This window comes from Homo sapiens, chromosome 12, assembly GCF_000001405.40.
Source record: "Homo sapiens chromosome 12, GRCh38.p14 Primary Assembly".
In the NCBI taxonomy this organism is placed as follows: Eukaryota; Metazoa; Chordata; class Mammalia; order Primates; family Hominidae; genus Homo; species Homo sapiens.
Window position 1 is genome coordinate 15,539,829 of NC_000012.12, and position 16,585 is coordinate 15,556,413.

The 16,585-nt window shown below is 37.8% G+C and overlaps 1 protein-coding gene and 1 long non-coding RNA gene across 10 annotated transcripts in view; one reads left to right on the plus strand and one right to left on the minus strand.

The window, feature by feature from the left end:
* The window catches only part of PTPRO (protein tyrosine phosphatase receptor type O), a 275,824-nt gene that overhangs the window by 217,321 nt on the left and 41,918 nt on the right, over positions 1–16,585 (plus strand). For 5 of the 9 annotated variants that reach the window (XR_931316.4, XR_007063106.1, NM_030667.3 and 2 more), the window contains exons 13-15: positions 6,741–6,880; positions 9,266–9,398; positions 11,723–11,843. Coding sequence is in view for 7 of the 9 variants with exons in the window: in NM_030667.3 (NP_109592.1) it covers positions 6,741–6,880; positions 9,266–9,398; positions 11,723–11,843 (394 nt within the window). In the remaining 2 variants the exon portion in view is untranslated. Of the gene's footprint in view, positions 1–6,740; positions 6,881–9,265; positions 9,399–11,722; positions 11,844–16,585 lie in introns of those variants that run through there. The other 4 variants (NM_030671.3, NM_030669.3, NM_030670.3 and 1 more) reach the window with 1 other exon arrangement.
* LOC105369672 (uncharacterized) lies at positions 60–16,083 on the minus strand. Its single transcript, XR_002957403.2, has 3 exons — positions 15,836–16,083; positions 3,480–3,644; positions 60–1,818 (listed from the first exon to the last, which is right to left on the minus strand). It is a non-coding gene; the product is annotated as an uncharacterized LOC105369672 (long non-coding RNA).

Below are 16,585 nucleotides of genomic sequence, written 5' to 3' on the forward strand. Positions count from 1 at the left end.
ATTTCTAACTCCTGAGAAAATTTTATTTTTATATATAGGAAAAAGGCCTCATAATTTAATGTGTTTTCAGGTGCTAAATATTTGCCTGAATTTTTTTTTTTATTTCCTGGTTTTTTTTTTAAATGTTCAAATTACTTGTTAAATGTATCTAGGAAAAGAATTTCCCTAAGTCAACAAGACAAGGTCTAATAAACTTCAGGTCTAACAAAGACTTCTGCTGTTTAATGTAAATATTTCTCTCCTTAATTTCATTGCATATCAATCTTAACTCACCCTGAATAATTTCTATACCTCTTGTTTATTTTCCTTTCAGACAGTGCTTTCTTTTGCAGATGTTATTTCACCAACTTGAGCATAGTTTCTGCAGTCCACACTGCTTACATTGCAGATGCTTCCTTTGGCCAAGTCGAATATACTATATGACTTACGCTGCTTAACATAGAGTTGCTTGAGTTGAGGAAAATAAAAATAAATTTAAAAGACTTATGACAATATAGATGTTAACATTTATGCTTTGCATATGAAGAGCATTCTAAAAAACTGTTATCAGTGAGGCTAAAGATTGAAAATAAATGTTGTTATGTGGATCATGGATTAAGATAATTTTAACAATACTTTTCTACTTAATTTTCCTTATTACCAATGTTGCACATTTGTAAAATGACTCACCACGCTGGTCCTTATGGATATAATCTTGGCCTCATAAACATCATTCTCTAGGCAGCTAAATTAATGAGTCACATTAAAAGAAGAAACAATGTAATAGCTATCAGAGAAAGATGGGTTTTAGACAATAAACACATTACATTCTGCTCCTAGGCTAAATATTACATCTGACTATTCCCTTTGGAATTCCTGAGAAAAGGAAGAGATTTGCTGCCAGAGCACAGAATAAGAATCAGACACTAGCTCACACTTCAGGAAGGTCACTTTCACTCCCCAGAGATCCTAGGCAACAGCTTGAGCCTCTCATAATCCAATCTAAATTAAATGGTAGAGATGGCCTTGCAGCCTTCCAGTCTGCCCATATTCTATGCATTGTACTTGATTTTCTTATAAAATTAGATTGGATTCTCAGTCCAAACCCGGAGAGGCATGGAATGAGAGAGAAGAAAAGAAAATAGGGAAGGCCAGCTAGTTGAGTGGAACGCCAGCAATATTAGAAAGCTTTTAGAGGGTATTTAAAAGCAAACAACCCTATATCTATACCTCATTTTATGAAAATGGTATGTCTATCCCCCTTACCCATATACATAGGTACTCACACCAAATATCATGGACTGTGAAGTTATTTTAAACAAAAGGAAATTTGACCTTTTGGAGCATGAGAATATGGAAAATGTTATGATTGAAAATGTCATTTAGAGAGATAAAAAGCAATAGCCAGGAGATGTTCCATAACTAATATCTACATGACTTTACATTATATAAAGTGTTTGTGTATGCATTGTCTTAAATTTCATTTACTCTTCTCAACATTATTGGTTTTTTCCTATCCTTCTGCTTTAGAAGACTGACTGTATTTGATATTTTATAGGGTTTTTTCATCCCTCATGTGCAGAAAGGGACATATTTGGTATTTTGAATAGTAAGAGACTGTATTAGTTTGCTAGGGCTGTCATAGCAAAATACCACAGACTGGGTGGCTTAAACAACAGAAATTTGTTTTCTCACAGATCTGGAGTCTGGAAGTTCAAGGTCCAAGTGTGAGCAGAGTAGGCTTCTCCTGAGGCTTGCAGATGATCACTTTGTAACTGTGTCCTCACACGGTCTTTTCTTTGTGCTTGTACATCTCTTTACTGTTTATATTTCCTCTTCCTATAAGGACACCAGTCTGATTAGATTAGAGCACGTGCTAACAGCTTCATTTAATTTAATCACCTCTTTAAAGGCCCTATTCATCCTGGGTGTGGTGGCTTACGCCTGTAATCCCAAAACTTTGGGTGGCTGAGGTGGGTGGATCACTTGAGGTGAGGAGTTCGATACCAGCCTGGCCAACATGGTGAAACCCCGTCTCTACTAAAAATACAAAAATTAGCCGGGTGTGGTGGCAGGCACCTGTAGTCCCAGATACTCAGGAGGCTGAGTGGGAGGATCGCTTGAATCTGGGAGGTGGAGTTTGCAGTGAGCCAAGATCATGCCACTGCACTCCAGCCTGGGTGACAGAGCAAGACTCCACCTCAAAAAAAAAAATAGTCACATTCTGAGGTACTAAGGGTTAGGGTTTCAGCATATGAATTTAGGCGGAGGGGATATAATTCATCCCATAACAAAGATAGAAAGCAATCAAAATGCCTTTGATGTCATTGTATTCCCTATCATATGCAATTGCCTAATTAATATTTAGCCACTATCTACTTTAATCTTGTGCTTCTGAGAATGGAAAACATGAGTCATGTAAACCAGGGGTGTCCAGTCTTTTGGCTTTTGGCTTCCATGTGCCACACTGGAAGAAGAATTATCTTGGGCCACACATAAAATATGCTAACACTGATGAATCAAAAAAATTTCACTAAAAGTATCTCACAATGTTTTAAGAAAGTTTATGAATTTGTGTTGGGCTGCATTCAAAGCCATTCTGGGCAGCATGCGGCCTACGGGCCATGGGTTGGACAAGTTTGATCTAAACCATCTTAGGCTGTGGCACTGAGCTGGCCTTGACTTCTCATGAGAAGTGGGAACCCCCTAGCCAGTTTTTGCCAGAAATTTCCAGACTTCTACTCTAGGCAATAAGAAGAAATGCTCTAACTCAGTACTATTCATTTGAAACATAATAAGGGCCACATGTATAACTTTCAATTTTCTAGTAGCCACATTAAAAATTAGTAAAAAGAAACAGGTAAAATTGAATTCGATATACTTTATGTAACCAAATATATCCAAGGTCATATTGTTCCAACATATAATCAATATAAATAATTATTAATAAGATATTTTATTCTTTTCTCACACTAGGTCTTTGACATTCTGTCTGTATTTTACATTTGCAACACCTCTCAATTTGGACTAGCCACATTTCAAGTACGCAACAGCTACATGTGGCTAGTGGCTGTGTTGGACAATTCACATTCCGATTCTTACATTTTAAAACATTTCCTGGGACAGTTGTTGTCTTGAGTAGGAAAATCTAATTATAAGCACTCCCAATTCAATTATACTTTCACTTGTGAAATCTTGTAATAGTAATAAGTTCATAATTATAATAACAATAAATTGTAATAACTTTCTTTGTTTCCTTTGGGATACCAGAGTTAAATTTCTGCCTGATTAATTTAGGGAAGCACACCAATCACGAAGATCCTGAACAGTCCTCAAGCAGGTGATTTATGTATGTATTCATTGACCTATAGAGCTGACATGTAAACGTCTTCCAGAAAAGTACACAGTGATCACAGGTGCAGGGACCTTGAAATAATCTATTGCCCTCATATTCCACCCAAAAAGAAAAATTTGTTACGTGGTTGTTAGATGTCCCAGACCTTTAGGAGATTTTCCTGAGGATCTTATCACCTAGAGCCACATTCTCAGCCAGAACAAAGGAAACCCTCACTGCAGTATTCATGTCGTATTCCTTGGACCACTGGGAGCTCTTGCAGTAATTCATGATAGTTCTTGACTTTGCCCCTGAAATTGGATAATTTTACCTACATAAAAACAGAAGAGAACATTAAGATACAACCTCAGCGTGTCTGGTCTTGCCTGGTGCTTGAATCCTCCTCTTTTGGTTGATGAATCTTGACTCATGTTTTAAATCAGCCGATAAATAAGATTTTTTGAGTACCTATAGGTGGCTACTTCAAATGAAGACAAAGTCATTTATAACACATGACCCTTGTTCTTAAAGAATCTAATAGGATCTACTAGAATCAGGCCTTCACTCACATAGATTATATAGGAAATAATTAAAGGCAGTAGAATGTCAGAGAAGGGATAAATCATTAAGAGAAAGAGTCACCAAATGAGACTTCAAGGAGGAGGTAAGACTTTTTCTTGACCTTCGAATGAGCAGAATAAAGAGCATACTGATTGAAGGCAAACATGGGCTGACATAGAGCACTGCCCTGAAGTTCAGTGAGAAGACTGTCTTTCCCAGGAGGCAACACATCTGTGTGTCAGGAATGGTGGTGAAGCTGGTTGGATAGCATGCAGCCAGTTTAAGCAGGATCTTAAAGACATGGTATGTTTGGATGTGATACCACAGACAATGCACAGATAGGATTTAACATGAGTGAAATGGCATTTTAAGGTGATTTTAATCCGTTGTTGACAAAATGAAGAAAGAATTGATTAGAGCCAGGGAAAAAGAGGCACAGCAAGTTTGTGATGATCAATGAATGTGATCACAAAAGTCTAGACATGCAATATAATTTAAAAATAGATTAAAGGAGGCCGGGGGTGGTGGCTCATGCCTATAATCCCAGCTCCCAGCACTTTGGGAGGCAGAGGCAGGCAGATCACAAGGTCAGGAGATCGAGACCATCCTGGCCAACATGGTGAAACCCTGTCTCTACTAAAAATACAAAAAAATTAGCTGGGCATGGTGGCATGCGCCTGTAGTCTCAGCTACTCAGGAGGCTGAGGCAGGAGAATTTTTTGAACCCGGGAGGCAGAGGTTGCAGTGAGCCGAGATTGCACCACCACTGCACTCCAGCCTGGTGACAGAGCGAGACTCCATCTCAAAAAAAAAAAAAAAAAAAAAGATTAAAGGAAAAGGTAACGAGTTTTTAAAAGATATGCTCTCTGGGACTGAGAAATAAGGGAAGAGCCTCAGAATTGTGACTGAGGAACAATTCTGTAGTGTGCATTTTTAAAAAAGAAAAGCCTAGGCTCAGCCTAACTAATCATTCATCTATGCCCCCAAACAACTTCACACTTGGTTCTATAGATTCAAGTTCCACATGAGTCAGAATCCCTAAAGGACATAATCCTATTAGCAAAGGCAGTTATAAAGGAAGTGAGAAGTGGAAATTGACCTCTGTGTTTCATTAGCAGTCTTCCTCAGAGCAGAAGTGGGACAATACAATGCCTGGAGGACTGGACAATTCATTGCAAGTGAAAAAGGGCTCCTGACACCTATTGTGAATTTTGCTTGCCTAAGAAGAACTCATCTCTTTCCTCCTTCAACTCTTCTGCCTAACCTTGTCAAGTTGCTGCAGGAAAGAAACATGCTTCTTTTTAGTTGGACACAAGTTTAGGAGATCTGTGATAAATCATGGCAAGAATGATTTTGACATACTTCTTGGTCCTGGGCAGAGTCACAATGATGATATTCTAGAAACAAGGTTCAAATCTTTCCACACAAAGATGTGTACCTGTCAAAGCAGTGAAATGGCTGACAGGACTTTTTCAAGCACCTCTAAAGGACAGGAGCTGGAGAACAGACTTAGGAGAGTGGGGCAGAAAATGAAAAATCCAAGTAACAAGCAGGAAGAAACCTACAACAGTGGGTAGTCGTCTGACAGGCGCATATAGGTGGATGGAGGATGCTGTTATGTGAACCTAGCAGCAAGGTACAATATGTCCAAATAAGCAATGTCAGGGGGTCTGAGAGCAGGTAACAGGGACCCCAGCTTAAAACCTTGAGTTCAGGCACAGCACTCTGCATACTGGGGGACCTAGAGGGAAAGACAACATCCAAAAGACAGGGTCACAAGCAGAAGACCAGGAGACATTCAGGAATGGAGAATGAGACAGCAGATGACTATTAGAATTGAGGAACAGGCAGGGTTTTTTGGTCTCAAGAGAGCAATGCCAGTGACTCAATTACTAGAAATAAGTATGAAAAGGACAGACAACACAGCTTCCTTTACGAATGGATTTATTTATTATTAAGATAAAATGTCTAAGATAAAAAATTTATCTAATGTTTTATTAATCTTCCAATCCCCTCCTATCAATTCTTTTCTTAAAAAATTATATTATCAGCCAGGCACGGTGGCTCACACCTGTAATCCCAATACTTTGGGAGGCCAAAGTGGGTGGATTGCTGGAGCCCAGGAGTTTGAGACCAACTTGAGCAACATGGCAAAACTCCATCTCTGCAAAAAATGCAAAAATAAGCCAGGTAGTCCCAGTTACTTGGGAGTCGAGGCAGGAGGATCACTTGAGCCAGGGAAGATGAGGCTTCAGTGAGCTGTGTTCGCACTACTGCACTCCAGCCTGGGTGACAGAGTGAGACCCCCGCCTCAAAAAAAAAAAAAAATGATACTATCTGTTTAGCTTTATCTTTTTAAATTTTGACTAAATTTTCAAGCAGCCATTTTTCTGTCTGAATTGTTCCAGATAGTTTCCAGAGAAAGGAAGACAGGTTGTTGGCTAAATACCAAACTGCATCTCATCATTAGAAGGAAGCACACCAAATTTCATTTTTCTCCACCTTTATTAAGTGCAGATTTTTGTTTCTCATCCAGGAAGTTCTGTATTATCAGGGCAATGCTAACTTCAGTATAAATGACACAGAAACTATTAATAGATTATGACTATGATGAAACTGAAGTAGAAAACAGAAGTGTTCTGAAAAGAGAAGTAAAAAAATGGAAGGGGGAAAAGGCAAAGTATTCTGCCTTCCAAGTTAGATAGCTATCTTTATGAAAGGACATATTTCAAAGGCAATATAAAGTCTTTATGGTGCTCTTACCTACCTATATTTGAATTGGGGGATGCTTCACCTGCTTATTAGTGAAAGAAGAAAGAATACACTTAGTAAATTAAATTTTTTTTAAAACTTTGTCTTTGCTCAGAACCAGCTCCACCCAAATCACTCTTCGCAGTGAACAAAACCCAGACTTCAGTGACTTTGCTGTGGGTGGAAGAGGGAGTAGCTGATTTCTTTGAAGTTTTCTGTCAACAAGTTGGCTCCAGTCAGAAAACCAAACTTCAGGTACTGTACCTTTTGATCTACCTTTTCTCAGTTAACTTAAGTAAGGCTAATTATCTGGGCAAAATAAGAATCTTCTATTTCTTTGAGCTATATAAAATGAAAACTGTTTATTTGCTCTTTTGTGTTTCACTGATAGAAATTAACAGCAGGCTTAGACCAAGCCCAAAAGTTGTTATGAGAACTTTTATCTTTGTCTGTATCACTTGTTCCTAATTCATAAGTCACTCCAGGTCAGACAAAGGAATAAAGGTAGTAGGCCATTGAATTGATCAAGGGAAGAAAGACCCTACAATATAAAATATAATTTAACAAATATGAACCATTTGCCAAGTATATAAAGGCACTGAATAGAACACACATGATAGAATCAATATTTGCCTTCAAAACATTTTTATATGGTGTAGACATTGCATAAGTATAGAAAAAAGTAAAGTAAAATATAAGTACCACAAGACAGGTCCATTCGACCAAGAGAATTTAAAAGAAACGTGCATATCTAGTTTGTAAGGGGGACAGTCTTATTGCAAAATGAAGACTGAGAGAAGGTTATTGCTAAAGCTCTAGAATTACAAATGGCAGATACGATAAACAGAGTTATTCACCAGGTCAGAATGAATGAAAGGAAAGAGATGAACCTGCAGTTCTATGAGTGGCAACGCCACAAGGAAAAAATATTTCACAGCCAGAAGTGAAAGGAAAAGGACAGATTTGTTAGGGATTTTACATAATATAGTGTGTAGACTAATACTGCGAACATAAGTAATTGATCTTTTTTAAATAATGAAGTTCATGAGATTGAGAAGAAAAAAGGAATGCTGGGAGTGCAAATCTTTTCATATTGAATGCTAAGATAATTTGCTTTGATTCCTTTCTCCTTTTGAGATTCCCTTCTATGAATGTATCTCTTGTTGATTTGTACTGAACAGCTGAATTTTCTCTATTCTAAGAATCCTTTTGGAAAATAACTGCTCTGCCAATAATGGATTTTCTTCTCTATAACTACAGTGATGCCTTCCTTTAAGAAAACAATGGTTAGTTAGCTACTTACTACAACTGAGTCCTGTTAGCAAAAGTCTTTCCTTAGAATAATTCTTTTATAGAATAGTGAAAGAGAAGGAAGTGGAAGAAAATGCTGATGGCTCTCATTTCTTTATGCAAGGGTGTTTCAAAATCTTGTTTTGAAAAAAATGCTGGCTCATCTTTTGCTGTTGTACAGTAGTACTTGTCACTAGTCTGGCCATGGGTCCACCAAGTTAGCAACTTCTTTGACTCAAGAATAAGTTAATACTAAATGTTTCTTAGTGCGGATAGTTGCCATGTTTTAGTGGATGTTATATAAAAGCTAAGAATGCAGACAAAGGTGTAGTGTCCTTAATATATAAAGAATTGCTACAAGTCAAAAAAGGTAAAGGTCAACAACCCAAAACAAATATTTCATAGAAAAATACAGAAATCTCTTGAACAGATGAAAACTTCAGCAACCTCACTTACGGTAAAAAAAAAATGCAAAATAAAACTACAATATACAATTTTCACTAGTAATAATGGGAAAGCTCAGAGTTTGCAAATGTATGGTACTGGAAAGAATGTAGGGAGGCAGGCATTGTCACGCATTGATGCCAAAGGTGAGTAACTTGCAAAATGTCTGTAGAGAACTATTTTTCTATAGCTTTCAAAATTTTAAATGTACACTTTTTGACTCAGCAGTTCAAAGAATGTGACACTAGCAAAGAATATATGAGTATATGTGTATGTGTGTACGTTCACACATATATACATATTACATGCATATATTGTGTGTATATATGTGTGTATATATATGTGTGTGTGTGTGTGTGTGTGTGTCTATATGCATATGTGTGTGTCTTCCCAAATTTGTGAAATGAAGTTCATTGTAGCATTGTTTGCAATAGCAAAAAATCAGAGACCATTTACACATTCATCAACCGGGGCTCATTAAATAAATTATGGTATGTCCTTTCAACGGATTTCTGTCCAGCTCTTAAAAAGAATAAAACAGCTTAATCTGTACTGATATGGAAAAAGCACCAAAATATATTGATAGCTAAGGTAAAAAAATTAGCAGAATAATGTGTAGGCTAAGCCATCACTTATGTTTTTTAACTGTGTCATATATGTTCATACATCCATAAAATGCATATGGGAAGAAAAATAATGCCTGACAACATGGAATAATGCTGCTTCCATGGAAGGGAATTGGTCAGATGGGGAATGGGGAAAAAAGGAAACATTTTTCAATGCTATTCTTTGTCATCTTATACATTTTTTACTCTGTCAATCTATTACCAACTCAACTATGAAATATATTTTTAAAAAATATAGATGAAGTTAACCTAAAATTTACCTTATTTTCTGAAACCCCAGGAACCAGTTGCTGTTTCTTCCCATGTCGTGACCATCTCCAGCCTTCTTCCTGCCACTGCCTACAATTGTAGTGTCACCAGCTTTAGCCATGACAGCCCCAGTGTCCCTACGTTCATAGCCGTCTCAACAATGGGTAATTATACACATTAGTGTATAATTTTCTCACTTTTTTTGAATATATATATATATATGTATTTGTATCAATATTCCACCAAGAAATCCCAAGCTTCGGAGTCAGAGAGTCCTTAATTTCAATCCCAAAGTGCACTTACTAGCTATGGAGTTAGAGAAAGACATTTGGTGCCTCTGAGCTTTTCTTTCATCTGTAAAATTGGAATAATAATATGTAACTTTCTGAGTTGTTTTGAAGCTTAGAAATAAAATACTTAAATCCTTAGTATATGCTGTCTAAATGCTAGTTGCTAACTCATCTCATCTTCTTCAGTAATAGGCACAGTACTCTTATCAATCCAATTTCATCTATTTAGCCTTGGTCTTCATCTGTCACCGATCAGAGAATGACATAATTGATAACTGGGTCAAAGCAAGAAAGTTTCCAATCCAGCCAAAAGTATAAGTGGGAAAATTAGAGGTTAATGAAAGGTCTGGAATGATGCTGTTTATTTCCTTATTCTTTTCTTAGTTGTATTACATGTGTTACTCCTGGTTTGTTAGAGTCTGATTCTGCAACCTGAGACCCTCTATGAAGCCTCTTGTAATAAAGTCACTCATAACTTCACTGGTTTAGTTCCATTTCTGTAATATTAGTCATATATTTAGCTGCTAAATTCAGGGATGACTGGAGCGGACTGTTTTCTTTTTTCTTTTTCTTTTTGGTTTTCTGTTTTTAATTTTTGTTTTTTCAGAAGAGAGGACAAAAAATATACCTGCAAAGTATTTTAATGGTCTCTCATTCCTACATCCTTGTACACTTTCTAAAATATACAGTTGACGATGAATAATGAGAGACTTAGAAGTGCCAACCTCTGCATAGTTGAAAATCCATGTATAATTTTTGACTCCCTCAAAACTTAACTACTCATAGGCTACTGTTGACCTGAAGTCTTACCAATGATATAGACAGTTGATCAACACATTTTTGTATGTTATACTTATTATATATTGTATTCTTACAATAAAGTAAGCTAGAGAAAAGAAAATGTTATTGAGAAAATCGTAAGGAAGAGAAAATATATGTACTATTCATTAAGTGGAAGCAGATCTTCATAAAGATCTTCCTCATGGTCTTCACATTGAGTAGGCTGAGGAGGAGGAGGAAGAGGAGGGTTTGGTCTTGCTGTCTCAAGGGTGGCAGAGAGTAAAGATAATCCATATATATGTGAACCTGCACAGTTCAAACTCATTTTGTTCAAGGGTCAACTGTACCTTAATGTCCATCATTCCTTGTCAGCTCCATGACAATGTAGCATAACAGGTGATATTATTAAACTTATTTATAAATGAGGAAAATGAGGCCCATAGGGCAGATGAAATGGCTTCTCTCCAAATAGCAGTACTCAAGCGAAAAAGCTCTTCTGATCATGCGTCCATTGTTCTTTCTGTTTAAGCACTCTACTCATAAACTGGAGCCAAGCTGGCCCAAATGGGAAGTGGTAAATACCCAGAACCTTAGGGATCAGATGCACCTGCTCATTCTGTGACTTTATGATCAATGCAAAAGATGGTATGAGTCCTCAGGCCCATTTTAAAGAGTTTTATAAGAATATTAAACCTATGTTCCTGCCTTTGATATCCTGTTCTTCCGTGTAGTATGAAGAAGTAGACAATGTGTAAGTGCCACAGGAGACAAGTCTTTATATAGAGTACATGAAAAGGACGTGACCCCTGTTCTTCAGGGCCCTACAACCTATTAATAGGTTTTATCTCTTGAGCTGTGCAGATGGAAAACCCCTAAACATATGGCCACGGATCATCAGAATGTCTGCTTCTAGTAATGTGTTAAGTGCTTCAGCAGATGGTAGTTTGCTAATGTCTTTTTGATATACATTATTAGTTGTAAGCAAAGTATACAGTTGTGCTTTCTGACTTCAAAATCATGGGCGTAAAATAAGAGGTTGCCACCCTCTAAGCTTGTGAAAATGTTAAAAAACGATAATGCATGGTAATGACTTCCACATTTTTAGCTTTCAAATGAATTTAAACTGTGGCACAGGTATTCTTCATTCTTTAGTTTCCCTATGTAAGAATATCCTGAATGTTGTAGGCCTTTGAAAGGGACTCAATTCTTCCAGACACCTCAATACCACTTATCAGTCTAGTTTGCTAAGTTACAGTTGACCAGGAAGAGGTCATTGCTGGCTTGGGGAACATGATTGTTACTATTATTGGTATCATCGTAAGCTCACTGCCCTTAAGACTAGATGAAAAGCAATGAATGGTTCTGTTTGGTTCCCTGTAAGAGAACCTATGATGAAAATGCACAACTTATCTCTTTAGTTACAGAGATGAATCCCAATGTGGTAGTGATCTCCGTGCTGGCCATCCTTAGCACACTTTTAATTGGACTGTTGCTTGTTACCCTCATTATTCTTAGGAAAAAGCATCTGCAGATGGCTAGGTAAGTTAAGTTTTACTAATATTTTATCCGGAATCTTTAAAATATCTTTATCTGCCATATATATATTGTTTTTGCACACCTAAGTTGTATAGCGGTATATTGGATTTTAGTTTTCAGTGTCTGTTTCTATTGTGTGTGTTTTCTAAATAGACTTCGAAACATTATATTGGAAAATATTACCATTGAAATGAGAAAGCAAAGGATTGCTTGTTTACACAAAGTCAGACCTCTTGCTATCAATCTTGGCATTTGAAGTAGCCCATATATGGAGATCCATTACATTTGGGTACTTTCATACACATTTGGAATAAAAGAAATATCTATGACAGTTCAGTATAGTTAATGAAAAAAGTTAATAAAAATGGAGATGACAAGAAAGAACGGGGTGGGGGGCGGGAAATCCTCTCCATAATTTTAAGCTGTTCTATTGGAAAATATTTGTACAGTTTATGATTAGGTCCATTAGCAGTCTCTATTAGTTTTATTCCTATTACTCAGAGTTGCAGCCAGCTTAGTTTTTCTTGCAATTAGAAAAGCCTTTGATTTATGATTTCAGCTCTTCCCTGTTCCTTTGACCACTGATGCATTGCTCATCAGAGCACATTCTCAAGTAGTTTCTGTGGCCCCCTGTATTATCAGAATAATCTATCAATTCCCTTAAAAACTGTTGCTTATTTGAATACTACTTGGTTTGGGAAATTTTGTTAACATTTATATTTGCCCAATATTAACCTGCTGAATTATAAATTAACATTCTTCTCCTGTCTCAGAGTTCTATCACTCACATATTTATAAATAAATTCATCTATCCAATAGTGATCTAATCAGTGCCTGACATGGCATATCCAAAGAAAAATCAGACATCAAAGCTGTCCACTAGGAGCTTACTTACCTAACTGGATATATGAATAGATAGATATATTTAAAGGCATAAGCTGACATGTAGCATAAAGGGGATTAAAAACAGGATGCCATGAAACTAGAGAATAAAGACTAATTCTGAATGTGAAAATAAGCTTCTTGAAGGTTGGCATTTGAATAATCTTAAAAGGATAAGAAGAGATGTGGGATTGCACTGTAACTACAGTGGAGAGCTCTGAAATTACACTCCTTGAGGTCAAATCTTTTTTTTTTTTTTTTTTTTTTGAGACAGAGTCTCACTCTGTCGCCCAGGCTGGAGTGCAATGGTGCCATCTTGGTTCACTGCAAGCTCTGCTTCTCAGGTTCAAGCGATTCTTCTGCCTCAGTCTCCTGAATAGCTGGGATTACAGGCACGCACCACTAGGCCTAGTTAATTTTTGTATTTTTAGTAGACACAGGGTTTCACCATGTTGGCCAGGCTTGTCTCGAACTCCTGACCTTAAGTAATCTGCCCACCTCAGCCTCCCAAAGTGCTGGGACTATAGGCGTGAGTCACCATGCTCGGCCTCCTTGAGATCGAATCTTGACTTCCAACTTGCGTGAATTTGTGTAGGTCACTGAAACTTCATGCGTTCATATTACAAATATTGCTACATATATGACAGTATATGAAACAGACAAAAATATGTGCCTTCATGGAGCTCATATTCTAGTGGGAGAAATAGACAATAAACAATAAAGATATAAGTAAAAGGACTGCCCCTTAAGTTAGCAGGTGATAAGGAAAGGAAACAAGGTCAGGTAAGGGAGATAAGCAGTACCAGTGTGGTGTTAGGGGTCCTAGGAGGTGGGTAGGCTTCACTGAAATAATGGCATTGGAGCAGAGACTTGAAGCACATGAGGGAGGTAGCCTGTGTTATCTGTGGGAAGAGTGTGCCCAGTGGCAAGAACAGCTGGTGTAAAGGCCCTGGGGTAGGAGCACGACTGGGATGTTCAAAGTGTAGCAGAGGGGCCGTTGTGACTAAAGCGGAGGAAGACAAGAGTAGAAGGAGATGTCAAGTTATGCAGGGCTTCGTATGCCTTTGGAAGGACTTTGGCTTTTACTCAGTAAAATGAGCAGGCATTGCAGGCTCTGGAGCAGAAGATTAACAGCATCTGACTTAGATTTAACACTTTCATTTTGACTTTTATGTAGAAAACAGGCTGTATTGAGGCAAGGACAGAGACAGGCATATCAACTGTGGTAGCCAGGAATCCAGGCAAGAGATGCTAATAGTTCAGTCCAGAGCAGCAACACTGAAGGCAGAGAGAAGCCATCAGATTCTGGACATATTTTGAAAATAGGAGCAACAGGATTTGCTAATAAGTTGATATGGAATGGAAATGAAAAAAGGAGTTGAGGCTATAATCCCAGCACTTTGGGAGGCTGAGCCAGGTGGATCACCTGAAGTCGGGAGTTCGAGACCAGCCTGACAAACATGAAGAAACCCTGTCTCTACTGAAAATACAAAATTAGCTGGGCGTGGTGGCACATGCCTGTAATCCCAGCTACTCAGGAGGCTGAGACAGGAGGCAGAGGTTGCGATGAGCCGAGATTGCGCCATTGCACTCCAGCCTGGGCAACAAGAGTGAAACTCCATCTCAAAAAACAAATAAACAAAAAAAGAGAGTTGAGGCTAACTCCTGGGTTTTTGGCCCAAGCACTTGAAAGGATGGAGCTGCCATCAACTGAGAGAGGATTCCAGGTCAGAGTTGGGGGAACATCAAGACTTCAGTTTTGGAAATTGTATTAGTCAGAGTTCTCTAGAGGGTCAAAACTAATAGTACATAGTAGTATATATATATCCTATTAGATATTATATATAGATATAGTGTGTGTGTGTATATATATATATATCTCCTATTATATATTATACATAGATATAGGTATATGGGAGTTTATTAAGTATTAACTTCCACGATCACAAGGCCCCACAGTAGGCTGTCTGCAAGCTTGAGGAGAAAGGAGAGCCAGTCTGAATCTCAAAACTGAAGAACTTGGAGTCCAATGTTGAAGGGCAGGAAGCGTCCAGCACAGGAGAAAGATGTAGGCTGGGAGGCGAGGCCAGTCTCTCCTTTTCACATTTTTCTGCCTGCTTTATATTCACTGGCAGCTGGTTAGATTGTGCCCACCCAATTAAGGGTGGGTCTGCCTTTCCCAGCCCACTGACTCATATGTTAATCTCCTTTGGCAACACCTTCACAGACACACCCAGGATCAATACTTTGTGTCCTTCAATCCAATCAAGTTGACCCTCAGTATTAACCATCACAGAAATGTTAAGTTTGAGATAACTTGCAAGTGCAGGTGCAGAGTAGCCACCTGGACATAAAAGTCTAATGTTTGAAAGAGAATTTTTGGTTGAAGATATAAATTTGAGAGTTGTTGGTTCTGCACAGTGGCTCATGCTTGTAATCCCGGCACTTTGGGAGGCAGGCAGCTCACTTGAGGTCAGGAGTTTGAGACCAGCCTGGCCAACATGGTGAAACCCCGTCTCTACTAAAAATACAAAAAAATTAGCCAGGCGTGGTGGCGGGTGCCTGTAATCCCAGCTACTCAGGAGACTGAGGCAGAAGAATCGCTTGGACTTGGGGGGCGGAGGTTGCAGTGAGCTGAGATCGTGCCACTGCACTCCAGCCTGGGCGACGACTGAGTGAAACTCCGTCTCAGGAAAAAAAAAATTGAGAGTTGTTAACATATAAATTGCGTTAGAGCTTTAGACTGGATGAAATTCAGGGAGTAAATGTAAAAGAAGGCCCTGCATTAATCACTGGAACAATCAATATTAAGGTTTTCAGGGAGAAAAGAAGATAACAGTAAGCGACTGACAAAGAGGCAGCCAGTGAAGTATAAGGACAACTAAGGGAGTGTGGTGGCCTGGAAGCTAGGGGAACAATGTGTATGCAGAAGAGATGATAATTGCCCCTATATTAGTGGATACTTAGGAGCATTAACGCAGTAATAACATAGCGTAATACTCAACTCATAGGAAGTGTGCAGTAAATGTTAGCTCATAATAGTAATGGTGGAGGAGGTGGTAATAGATGTAATGCAAGTAGTGGTATTTCTGAGCATTTTTTGTGGTACATACCAAAGATATTTAGGAGAGGTGGTTCTGATTCTTTCAGCTAGTTATTAAAGCATAGATTCTCATCATTTTTCATGCTATGATCCTTTTTGGCAGTCTGGTGAACTCTTCTAAGAATAATGCTTCCATTTTCTGTGCCTAAAATAAAATACATAGGATTATACAACTATATTGAAATATGATAATCATAATATTTAAAAAGCAAATGTGTTGTACACTTTTTAATTAGTATATTCAATGTCAATATGTAATAGTCTAACAATTTCATCATGGTGATGCATATGACCAATATTTCAAGATATCTGCAGCAAGTCTATTATTAAAAAATATGTAATCTCTATTGTTAGCAAATCATCCATGTGGATATTCTGATGGTTTGGTACCTACTTTAATGATAGAAAGGACTGCTAAGTTTAGTCACAGGTTGTGAAAATAAATATGTACCCTTTTCCCACATATGTTCATAGAGTCCTAAATTCTATCTTTGGAACTCCAGATTAAAACCCTTGAGTTACAGGTAAAATAAATCCCATATATAGGAAATTGACATAGGAAAATTCATTAATGATGTGTAAATTATAATACACTATGATATTATATTAGTGTATTTTTCAAAAGAAGAAAATTGTTCTTGGAACACCTTAATAAGAACAGGTAGATAATTCAAGTAATTAGCACATTGTGCCAGTAATGTTAAAATCTCTGCTTCAGTTCTGAGTATTAAATCCATTAATTCCGTATAAAGAAAAAATG